Source organism: Homo sapiens, chromosome 2 (genome assembly GCF_000001405.40).
Source record: "Homo sapiens chromosome 2, GRCh38.p14 Primary Assembly".
NCBI classification, from domain to species: Eukaryota; Metazoa; Chordata; class Mammalia; order Primates; family Hominidae; genus Homo; species Homo sapiens.
In genome coordinates, this window is record NC_000002.12 from 36,648,814 (window position 1) to 36,661,590 (window position 12,777).

General features: G+C 38.5%; 1 pseudogene, besides 2 other annotated features; it reads right to left on the reverse strand.

Moving 5' to 3' along the window:
• Nucleotides 1,362-1,561: an enhancer, noted in NCBI's record as "active region_15576". NCBI's record gives its function as "activates an Ori minimal core promoter by ATAC-STARR-seq in GM12878 lymphoblastoid cells {active_cell/tissue: GM12878}" and the evidence as "EXISTENCE:reporter gene assay evidence [ECO:0000049][PMID:35858748]".
• RACK1P2 (RACK1 pseudogene 2) lies at nt 7,509-8,128 on the reverse strand (annotated as a pseudogene).
• Nucleotides 11,173-11,467: an enhancer, noted in NCBI's record as "tiled region #2322; HepG2 Activating DNase matched - State 5:Enh". NCBI's record gives its function as "activates a minimal TATA promoter and a strong SV40 promoter by Sharpr-MPRA in HepG2 cells {active_cell/tissue: HepG2}" and the evidence as "EXISTENCE:reporter gene assay evidence [ECO:0000049][PMID:27701403]".

Sequence of the window (12,777 nt, forward strand, 5' to 3'; positions counted from 1 at the left end):
CAGACTATACAAGAAGCATGGCTCCAGCATCCACTTCAAGTGAGGGCTTCAGGCTGCTTCCACTTATGGTGAAAGAAGAAGGAAAGCTGGCATGTGCAGAGATCACATGGGAAGAGAGCAAGAGAGAGAGGCGAGGGAGGTGCCAGGCTCTTTTCAACAACCAGGTCATGCAGGAACTAAGAGTAAGAACTCACTCCTTCTCGTAAGAATGGCACCAAGCCATTCCTAAGGACCCAGACACCTCCTACCAGGCCCCACCTCCAACAGTGGGAATCAAATTTCAACATGAGACTTGGTGGGACCAAACAAACCATATTCAAACCCTAGTAGGGCCTAAGACAGTTTTTTGGATTTTGCCTGTTTTTTTTCTTGTTTTTTGTTGTTGTTGTTGTTGTTGTTTTTCTTGACAGAGTCTTACTCTGTTGCCCAGGCTGGAGTGCAGTGGTGGGATCTTGGCTCACTGCAGCCTCCGCTTGCCAGATTCAAGTGATTCTCGTGTCTCAGCCTCCCAAGTAGCTGGGATTACAGGCACCTGCCACCACGCCCAGCTAATTTTTTTGTATTTTTTAGTAGAGAGAGTGTTTTGCCATGTTGGCTAGTCTGGTCTCAAACTCTCAACCTCAGGTGATCTGCCTGCCTCAGCCTCCCAAAGTTCTGGGGATTACAGGCGTGAGCCACTGTGCCTGGCTAAGACAGTTATTCATACTTCCATAGATATCTCATGGTTCCAAGTATAAGAGCAACACTCCTACCATAGTTCTCATGTTCCTGTCCCCATCTTCCTCATAGCAGCACATAGCGATGTCTTCCTCTACCATCACCCCCAGTGTTGTCCAGGAAGAAACATAAGTGATAATAAGACATAGACAGAACATACAGTGGAGATTTAGTGCCACAATTGTTTAAATCTTAGCAAATCTGTCAGAAATTTAGATCATTCTTTTAGAAAACCAAGGGAACGAATACAGCAACATTCCACTTCCCAAGACATGACAGCAGATGTGAGGCTTGATAATGCAAATGTATATAGCTTTTCTAACACTTTTCCGTAGGAGGATTTCATCACCGTGTGCTGCAACTATCACAGAAAGTTTATTGTTTCTTTCTTCCAAATTTGACCTAACTTTCTGCTCCCCCATTCACCTACTTGTACCTGGGGGACACAGACAAGCTCTTCTGTAGTTGGCTTCTGACCCACACAAACCTGTAAATGCCCAGAAACAGCGATCAGCCAAGTCTACTCTGCATGGAGATGTGCTTCAGTCCCCCTGGGCCCCTGGCTGGCTACCTTGAGCTTCAGAACTTCAGACAGTGCCTTGGCCTGAACCTCCTCTGGAGTGGAGCCTTTCTGGGGTTGTGGAGCCAGGCTCCTGGCTTCTTATGACTCCTGACACTTGGGTGTCCTGTTACCTGTGAGTCATCTTGCTTGTTGACTCTTGGCCTGCTTTCACTTCCTGACAACTGAGCTTGTGCTGGTAACTCTCACCCTTCAGGCACCGACCCTTGGCCTATGGCAGACACTCCTGGCCCCAACTTCTTGCCTTGACTAGTAACCCCTAGCTGTCCATTCCTTGGAGCATAAAATCTGATCACTCATTTTTAAAGACTCCACAACTTTCTCTTACTCACACTAAATAATACTAGTATTTTTAAATGTTAAAGTCTAATTACCAGTGGTCTCATACTTGATGAAAGCAGAAGCTGACAGGAGTTAGATAAAATGTGATCATGAAAGCTAAAAGAGGGCTCTATTACGATAATGACTTCTCTTTATAAAAATATAGTAAAATGGTAATTGTTTACAGAGCACCTACTATGTGCCAGGTACTGGTCGAGGAGTTTTACAACTATTATCTCTTAAATCATCTAAATAGTCCTACAAGGAATTTATCTCCATCTTATAAAAAAAGTGAGGGGTATCCATTCCATTTCATGACCTCTGCATATTGTACAACAGTCATTCAATACCTTGAATTCTCTCATCAGTTCTATTAACTTTTTCATAACAAAGATAGTGACTTAATAATACATATTAACTTTAATGTGACCTTAATACCTTCGGTTATTGGTCATCTTCCAAGCCAAGATAAGTCCTGAGGTTTATAACAACCCATAAGTATAATTTAGTATTATGTATCAAAATTTAAAATGATCATTTCTTTTCCTCTCAAAATTTTACTTCTAAAAATACATAGAATAAGTTCTCATACTAGATAAATGTATGTATACGAGTGTTATTATCCTGTAGTTTATAGCATCAAAAAACTGGGAAGAGGCTGGGTGCGGTGGCTCACCCTATTATCCCAGCACTTTGGGAGGCTGAGGCAGGCAGATCGCTTGACAACAGGAATTTGAGACCAGCCTGGGTAACACTGCAAAATCCCATCTCTACTAAAAATACAAAAAAAAAAAAAAAAAGGCAAGTGTGGTGATGCACGCATGTAGTCCCAGCAACTCAGGAGGCTGAGATTTGAGAATCGCCTGAGCCCAGAAAGTTAAGGCTGCAGTGAGCAGCAGTGATCATGCCACTGCTCTTCAGCCTGGGCAATAGAATGAAACCTTGCGTCAGAAAAAAAAAAAAAAAAAAAAACTGGGAACAAACTTGACTATCCATCCATCAGCAGACAATTCTTAACTCAGTAAAGGCACATTCATACAATGGCAGGCTACATACTACAAATCCATTTAAGAGGAGCAGGATAACTCAAAGATTTCCTAAGTCATTAATTGGAACTCAATTCACATCTGGGTCCCAAGTTGTTATGATAAACTTTAAGTTATCTAAACTTTGGCATATCAACTGGATACATTATTCCTGGTATTTCTAGACCTAGAATGTTAGCCTTGTTTTAGGGAAAACTCCTTCTGCCTTCTTAGATATAATCTTCTCATTATAAAGATAGTGAATAGTGGTATTATTATTATTGCATATATTTATATAGTACCTTACATTCAGGATGTGCTTTCACTGGTGCACACAAATTCAAAGCTCACAGAAACCCAGTTTTACTGAGAATTCTTTTCTAACCCTAATACCAAGGAAATCCATAAGGCAGCCCTTTGCATGAACCTGAAGATAATGTTAAGGTGAAATGGTTATACGTTTATTTTCAGAAAATAGTGTGAAATAAGTAGATTACTCTTCCAGTGTCTCTATAATTGAAATGTCGTTGGAAAAATAATGCACAATGGAAGATAATGAATACTTAAACAATAAACAATGGAAGATAACAAATAATACATTCATCAAAGCAAAAAAAAGTGTGTAAAAGGATGTTTTATCAATCCCACTTTCCCTCTAGTATTGAAGCTAAGAAAAACAGTGTTGAATCTGCAAGACATTAGAGAATCTTGTACCAACACACCCTTCCAGAGGTGCCTACTAGAGAACCAGCTTCACCCAACCAAAAGATGACTGGGGAAGTACTAGCAAGAAACCAGTGGTGAGCACAAACATATTTAGATGTAGGACTAAAATGAATTTGGAGATAAGGGTGGGAAAATGTTATGCAAGTGCTATTTTATGCTCTGCTGTTGTAGAACTAACACATGTAACAAAATATGGGAGAAAAAGGGGAGAAAATGGATCACAGACCAAAATGTGAAAGTTAAAGCAATAAAGCAGTTAGAAGGGAACATAATAATATGTCTTAGTGACTTGGGGGGTTGGCAAAAGCTCCTTAGGTCACTGGAAGCAATAATAAAAACAATTTTAAATGATTAATTAAACAGCAAACTTAAAATGTCTGCCTATCAAAAGATACTGTTATAAAAATGAATAAGCAAACCACAGACTAGAAGAAAATATTTGCAAAGTATATATCTGGCAAATTGCTGGTATCTAGCGTATTGAACAAATCAACAAATAAACTAAAAACTCAATAATAAAATTAACAACCTAATTTAAAATGGGAAAAAAATCTAATACATACTTCATAAAATAAGATATATAAATAACCAACAAGCAAATGAAAAGTGTTCAACATCATTAATCATTAGGGAAATAAAAATTTAAATCACAATAAGGTACTACTAAACATCTACCAGAATGACTAAAATTTAAAAAGATTGACAGCACCAAATATCGGCAAGGATATGGGAAAACCAGCACTCTTATACATTGTTGGTGTGGATGTGAGACGGAACAACCAGTTTGGGAAATGGTCTCAAAATTTCTTATAAGCTAAGCATATCTGCTATGACCCAGCAATACTATTGCTAGGTATTGACCAAATAAAAATAAAAAAATAGTTCACAAAACTACTTGTATAAGAATGTTCATAGAAGCTTTATTCATAATAGCCCCAAGTTGGAAATAGTCTAACTGCCATACATTTTTATCTTTAATAAATAGGACTAAATTACTGACGCAAGCAACTACATAGATGAATCTCAACATTATGGTAGGCTGGGCACTGGTCTGTAATCCCCATGCTTTGGAAGGCTGAGGCACGAAGATTGCTTGAGGCCAGGAGTTCAACACCAACTCGGACAACATAGCAAGATCCCATCCCTACAAAAAATTTTGAAAAAAAAAGTAGCCAGGCACGTTGCTGTGCACCTGCTTAGCTCCTTGGCAAGCTGAAGTAGGAGGATCACTTGAGCCCGGGAGTTCAAGGCTGCAGTGAGCAATGGTCACACCATTGCATTCCAGCCTGAACAACACAGCAAGGGCCTGTCTCTAAAAAAAAAAAAAAAAAATTTAAGTTTTGCTGAGTAAAAGCAGCCTTACACAAAAAAGATGATACAATGTTTGACTTGATTTCTATGAATTTCTAAAGCAGGTAAAAATTTATGGTAGAAAAAATCAGAAGCTTACCTCTGGGGAAATGGGAATTAAACAGCAAGGGCCATGAGGGTACTTTCTGGTAATGCTGTATCTTGTTAGACGTTTGGGTTACACAGGCATATCCATTCTTCAAAACTGGCAAAGGTATACGTAAGGTTTGGGTACTTTACAGTATGTAAATTTTATATTAAAATACTTTAAACAAATAATAAACTCTAGTTAATGATATGCATCCTGAACTTTGAGGGTAAAAGTGTACTAATGTTAGAAATTTACTTTGAAATACACAAAAAATGAGATAGATTAACATATGGATAGAAGATTGGATATATGGATAACTATACCTAAAGTAAGTGCTGGACAGTAACATGTTAATGATACTGTCTAGGTGGTGGGTATATAGGCGTTCACTGTAAATTCTTTCAACTTTGCTGTAGGTTTGGAAATCTTCATAATAAAACGCTGGAGGAAAAAGAGGCAAGAGAATGGAGTAAGCAGAATAAGAACATAAGTTGCATCATAAGCAGAAGGACAGAGTCAGAGGATATCATTTAATGCTGACAAACTGAATTGTAGAAGTGTAAGAGTACAAAGATAAACACCATGAAAGATAATATTATTGACTAAAGTTGGAAAGTCAGGGAGAGATGAGAGAAGAAAGAAGACACAAGTCAATTTTGTTTTGCTCATAGTATAAAACCACTGGACATTTTCTAAGGAGAGAGAAAATTACCAGTATTTATAGTATGTATTAATAATGAAAGAAATGAGATTAAACAGAGTATATATCAATAAATGTAGATAGGCTTAAACTAACTGAAGATTAAAACAGATTTCAACATTTTGCTTTATACAAAAGACTTGCCTAAAACTGAGTGATCCAGAAAGGTTAGAAATAAAAGGTTAGGCAAAGTTGTGCCAGTCAAAAGTAAGCAAAAATAAAGCAAGGATCAAGGCTTTGATGTCAGACAAAGTAGAATTCAAGCCAAAAAGCATTAAGCAAAACAAAGAGGATACTGTATAAGTGTACTTTTCAATTCAGTAGTCACTAGTCACCTGTGACTCCTGAACATTACAAACATGGTTAATGTGATAAACTACATTTTAAATTTTATTTAATTAAATTAAGTGGTGCAGAGAAAACTTCCATTATCCCAGAAAGCTCTATTGGGTAATGCTTCTTCATAATGTTTAAGACTCCAATTCACAATGAATATATGGCAGTTATAAATATCTATGTATGAAATAACATAGCGTCTACTTTCATAAAATAGAAGTGATGGAAAGATGCAAACTCATATAATAAAAGATTTTAAAATCAAATCTCTCCACACAAGACAAAGCAAGTGGAAAGATCCAGTGCTCAAAGGCTGAAATTGAAAAAAATGTAAGTTGTAGGAGGACACAGTTGGCTGTTCATTTTTTACGTCCATAAAGTATCTCTAAATAGTCTCCTCTCCAAGCACAGTTTGCAGCCCTTGAAAATATCTGGTGGCCGCGCATGGTGACTCATGCCTGTAATCCCAGCACTTTGGGACGCCAAGGTGGGTGGATCATCTGAGGTCAGGAGTTCGAGTCCAGCCTGGCCAACATGGTGAAACCCCGTCTCTACTAAAAATACAAAAAAAAATTAGCCAGCCATGGTGGTGGGCGCCTGTAGTCCCAGCTACTCGGGAGACTGAGGCAGGAGAATCGCTTGAACCCAGGAGGCAGAGGTTGCAGTGAGCCAAGATCTCACCAATGCACTCCACTCCAGCCAGTGACAGAGCGAGACTCCATCTCAAAAAAAAAAAAAAAAAAAAGAAAGAAAGAAAGAAAAAGAAAAGAAAATATTTTGTGATGGTACTCAATAACTTTTCAGTGTTTCTAATGACTATGTGTTGCTGTAAGAGAAGTTATGCATGTACATGTAACTGCCCTAAAGACATTGGCGTCATAAGTGAACTAACCTTCAGAGTTGTGGTGAGAATACAATTAATGGGAATTTTTGAAGTGTTCTGAATTTTTAGGAAGAAAGTCATTGCATAAGCATTTCTTTTTTTGTCTTTTAACAGAGTACATTGGTCCCCAAGGAAAAAACCATCTTGGTCCCGCTTCAACTATTCACCCTAATTAAGTCCGTCAACCCTCTGGTCCACTAGTGGAACAATGCTCCTGACTCAGCTGACGTTTCCTCTGAGGAAAGCTATTTGCAAAACATTTCTTGAGACTTCCTGTCAGAAGCCTATAGCCTGGTGACTTGGGGAATTATCTAAATTTTTGGCACTTTAGTGGGAGCCAGGCAGAAGAAGGAAGCATCATGTTGGTCTTCTTTGTCTATTAAAGACCCATCGATAACCCACACACTTTGCCTTCCCAGCAAGTGCAGGAACAAATGTAAGGCAGAATGGTTCACCAGGGAAACAGGTATAGAGCTGGATGAAACCCCACCAAAGCCACAAAAGCTCCATCTACTTCCCTTCCTGATAATGACGGTGTCCCTTACAAATATTGTTCCAACACTCTAAAGCCACAAGATAGTTTTCTTCAATCAATAGGTGCTATAGTAACCATCCCTGTCAATTCCAAATGTCTGTAAGGGTGTATAGGGCCCAGGATTGCTTACAGGAGAAGGCTTCTTCCACCCTGATAATGATATTTTCTATGCATCATAAATTAAGGCCTTTATTTTCAAGGGTTTGACAAGAAGGGGTTTGATGGGTCTGCCCATCAGGTGTTGCAGGTTTCCTGTGTAGCCACAAGCAGAGTCTGGCCAACAGAAAACCTGGTCAGGTATGTTCACAACTAGCTTGTGTCGCAGATGCTGTTTGTTTTCTCCTTTCAACTTACCTATCATAATCTTTCCTTTAAAATTCCATATCTCACTATTGACCACATGATCCATAAAGATAGGAGCAACTAGGGTTAGAGCAGAGGCATTCAAAAGAAGCATTGAAAACATCCCCACGGCATGAAAGTACTTGTCCATGCTGAAGACCATTGAATGTCCTGTCTATCCTTATCTCCAGAAGCTGTATGTTACCATCAGTCAGCTGTGTGATCAATGAGGTTTTCTCAGTTAGTAGATGGTCAGCTTCTAGGTCTTGATAAGCCAATTTCAGCTGTAGTTAATAATGATGAAGTTGCTCTTGCTGGGTGAAAAATGAAAACACAATACCCATTCTGAGGAGCTTTCCTCATGAGCAGTGTATTTGCCAACACCCAGGACACACTATAACTTGATGATCTCCCTGTAGCATACATTAGAGGAGAAGATCACATTTAGCATGTCTTTGGCTTGACTGCCAAAGTAGTGTGAAATCTCAGAAGTGGTGGGTCTCATGACCCAAATGTGCCATCTGGGAGGATGACCGTATGAGTTGAGTGGGTGTGAACCCTCAGGGTCATGTTGTCTATAAAATGCTGTGGACGACACTTGGGAGTCAGAAGGTCTGCAGTTTTGCAGAAGACACCCTTTGCGGAGAATTTTTTTGATCACTCACATAGGGTATGGACTAGGGAACTGCTTCACGAGGGAAACTGAAGCTGTTTTGCTAAAGGAAACAAAGCAAAAGCCTAAAGCTATTTTGCTATTCCACTCTTTGTGACAAGAGCAAGTAAGCAGTCTGTATACAGATGCTCCTTGACTTACGGTGGAGTTATGTCTTAGTAAACCCATAAGCGGAAAATATTGTAAGTCAAAAATGCCTTTAATATACCTAACCTACTGGACATCATAGCTTAGCCTAGCTCACCTCTAACATGCTCAGAAAACTTACTTTAGCTTATGGCTGGGCAAAATCATCTAACACAAAGCCTATTTTATAATAAAATGTTGTGTTTCTTATGTCACTTATTAAATAGCATGCTGAAAGGAAAAAGCAGAATGGTGGTATGAAATATGATTATTGAATGTGTATCACTTTCATACCATTGTAAAGTTGAACCATTATAAATTAGAGACTATCTGTATACTGGTAAAGTATGCATCAAATGAACATCAAGTGCGACTTGAGGCTAAAAGAAGCCCCATACACCCTGTCTGAAGGATGAGTTAGCCTTGGTAATGCTGGTTTAATGGGCCCACTGGAGGGAGGCCCTATTTGGATTCGCTGCATTTATGCATATGGGTGTTTGGTTCTATTCCTTCTCCCAGAGAGGCTACTTCATTGACTTCACTAGTGAAGCTCAACAGGGTCCTCACAATGTGCAGGGTATGAAGAATTCCATTTTATACCTCTGCGTCCAATTCTCTGGGATATACCCTGTCTTATTCCCCTTCCTGTCAGTCCTGTGCTCAGCAGATTGTGCTCTGGAATTCAGGGTGTGGTTCAAGGTCAGGTTAGTTTTGCCCAGAGTCACAGAGCATACAACTGGCCATCATATAGTAGAGGTCTCAAAACCAGAGCCTAGACACATGGCCTCAAAACCAGAGCCTAGACACATGACCTCAAATTCATCTGCCAATCTGAAGGGATAGATAAAGAAATGCAGAGTGCTAATTTTTTGTTCATTCATTCAAGAAATACTCACTGATAGTCATGTATATGCTGGGCACTGTTCAAGAAGTTCACATCTTGAATGAAGTGAATCCTGAACTTCTTGAATGGTGCCCAGCATATACAATGAAATAAAAAAGAATACTTGTCCTTTGTAAGATCTATATTTGACAAGGAACTGACAATGACCAAGAAATACAGAAGTAGGCAATGGAAAGCAACCTATGAAGTGTGCCAGAATCAGAGCAGGCACCTGCAGCAGGTTGACATACCAGCTTGCATGGGCATGATGAGTGTATTTATGGAGCCTGAAGTTGGACAACAAAGCCAGTCAGCTTAGAGCTTATCTTTTTCCAGATTTTTCCATTTGTTCAACAGGAATAATGATATCTGTTTTCAGATGCTTTGAATTCCAGGTATGAAAAATGACCTCTGATGTGAATGCAAAATTGTTCTCATTCCTGCATGAAAGTTCTCTGGGCTTTTTGATCTTGTCACATTTCAAAAGCTGTGTGCTCCTGTAGAATGACCCCCTGGGCTCCAATCAGGAGATCTACTGTTCTGATTGAGCTCTGCCACCAGACGTGTAACCTTAGGCAAGTTGCTTAATCTCCTGAAACCTATCTCTTCACCTGTGAAATGACTGAGTTGGATCAGGTGATCTTTAAGCTTAAAATTTTTTCTGACGTCCTGTACAATTCAAAGAAAGGTCATCTCCTAAACCAGTTTCACCAATATAAATGCTACTCACAGGAAAATTTCCTTGTTGTGGTGTATGACCGGAACTAATTTTTATTCATTTAACGCAACATTTTTATTCTTCTTTCATTGACTAAAAATATATTTTTCCTACTTCTCACTTTTTTTCCTGTGTCTTTAATTTGCAAAGTTTTTAAACCCCTGTAGCCATCATCTGTGGCAATTTGGTTGCTCGTATGAGCTTTTTTTTCTTTCTCCAAGTCAATGTTCTCGACGTTGCTCATGTGATTATGACAACATGTTAATAATATAGATTAGCTAACATTTGTCGAGTGTTTACTATAGCCAGGCACAAAGCATCTCACGTGATCATCATAGCAACTCTAAGAGATGTAATATTACCATCTTTCTCTTATAAGAGGAGAAACAGATACATTGAGGGAGTAAGAGTTTCCCAAAGTTACACAGCTAGTGAGAACTGCGCTGGTATTGTCTAACTGCAGAGTCCAAATTCATGGCTTCTATTTCAAATTAGCTCAGCTGGTATAGAGATGCAATGGGGAGGAGGGGAGGACAGAAAGGGAGGGAGGGAGGGAGAGAGGGGAAAAAAGAAGAAAAGATTAGATTCAGGGAAAAAATTATTTATATTCTATTTTTAAATAATTGTAAATCTAAATAATTGTATTTAGTCCCATGGAAAATGTATAATATGAAAACTTAGAGTATCTGCTTTATTGAAAACTAGAGACTAATGAGAAAAATAATACTTTTTAGTTTAGCTATTACAGTATTATTATCTGGGCCTATTTAGGAAGTTGCAGAATGGCGGCAGCTTTCCAACTTTTATTCTGAAATTAGATCCTGGGGCCTATGGCAAGGGTAGGGCAGACAGCATATGGCCCAAGGTCAAAGACTGCCTAGGACAAACCCAAAAGTATGCCTCAACAGAGGTAAGAACTAATTCACAAATTCCATAACAATAAATGGCGACTGTGAGCATATGACTGACCCATTCTATTTTCAAGTAAGGTCAAGTCAGAAAGCTGAATTTAGGACAACTAAGAGCCAATAATATTCTTGGCTGGAAAGCCTGCCATTCATCAACAGAATCACATGTCTACAGAGCTCTCCAGCTTAACTAAGTTCATGACCATTTTGGGAAAGGTATGATGTCTTGCTAAAGCCTCAGCTTTGCTCATCAAGTTCTGGTGCCCACACCAGGATTTTCAGGCAGTTGTTCCTCTGGTGAGGTAACATTTGTTCTGTAGGAGATGGCCTTTAGCACCAGCACTCCTGTTGTCAAGAGGTCTTTGCACTCAATCACATCTATTGACAATCTGCAACCTGCTAGGTCATGGACTGAATGCTTCATCAAGGTTATTTATGAGTCACCATGACTTCAGGGTTTTTTTGTTTCATGCAAAGATCAGAAGTACAAAAATAGCTTTATTTAATCAGAAAGAGCTAGAAAATAACTGTCTTGTACATTCCTCCTGTGGTTATGGTTTCCAGTACCCTTTTCTTCAATTAATTATATAAATATACTCAACTTCAAGGATCTTATTTTCCCCCAAATCATTCATGTGGTAACAAGGGAATAGAAAAGCCTTCATGAGCAAGTACATTGATGTTCCACAAAAGCTTCTGAAACATGTACCTCGAGTAGACACCAGTCTGCATCTCATTTCTTTAAGGCTTGTTTACCTAAAGTATGACAGGAATATTTTTCAATCAAAGCTATGGGGTGTTGTTGTTGTTTTTAAAATATCTTTTTTAAACCACCTTAACCATTTTTCAGTGTATTATACGGTGCACATTGTTGTGCAAAGAATCTCCAGAAATTTTCGTATTGCATATCTGAAACTCTATAGCCATTAAACAGTAACTTTTCTTTTTCCCCTCCCCCTAACCCCTGCTAACCACTATTCTACTTTCTAAGAGTTTGACTACTTTAGATTCCTCATATAAATGGAATCATGCAGCGTTTGTCTTTTTGTGACTGGCTTATGTCACTTAGCAAAACATCCTCAAGGTTCATCCACGTTGTAGCACATGGCAGGATTTGCTCCTTTTTTAAAGCTGAATAATATTCCATTGTATGTATAGACCACATTTCATTTATCCATCCATCTGTTGATGGACATTTAGGTGGCTTCCACCTCCTGGCTATTGTTAATAACACTGCAATGAACATGAGTATGCAAATCAATCTTTGAGATACTGTTTTCAATTCTTTTGGATATATACCCAGAAGTGGGATTGCTAGATCATGTGATAATTCTATTTGGAATTTTTGAGGAACCTCCATACTATTTTCCATAGCTGCTGCACCATTTTATATTTGCACAAGCAATGCATAGGGTTCCAATTTTCCCATATCCTTGCCAACACTTGTTATTTTCTGTGTTTTTTAAAACAGTGGCCATCTTAATGAGTGAGGTATATTTTTTCACCATCTTTTATAAAGAGCAAAATAATAACCAAGCAAACAATTTCAAGTAATTTAATTAAATGTTATCAAATCAAATCAATCATCTAACACTATCATCTTCCTGGCACTAACTTATTCTTTGTTTTATGCAAAAGTTAGTCAATATACACAGAACCTCTCATGCAGCAATTCAACCTTTAGGTATACGTTCAACATAAATCAGTACTTATATCCACCTAAAGACATGTATAAGAATGTTCACAGAGCTTTACTCACAATAGCCCAAAACTGAAGACTACCAAAGTCCAGAGACATTACAACAGATAAATAAATTGAAGTATATTTACATAATGGAGTACCAAACAGCAGTGAAAAAAAAA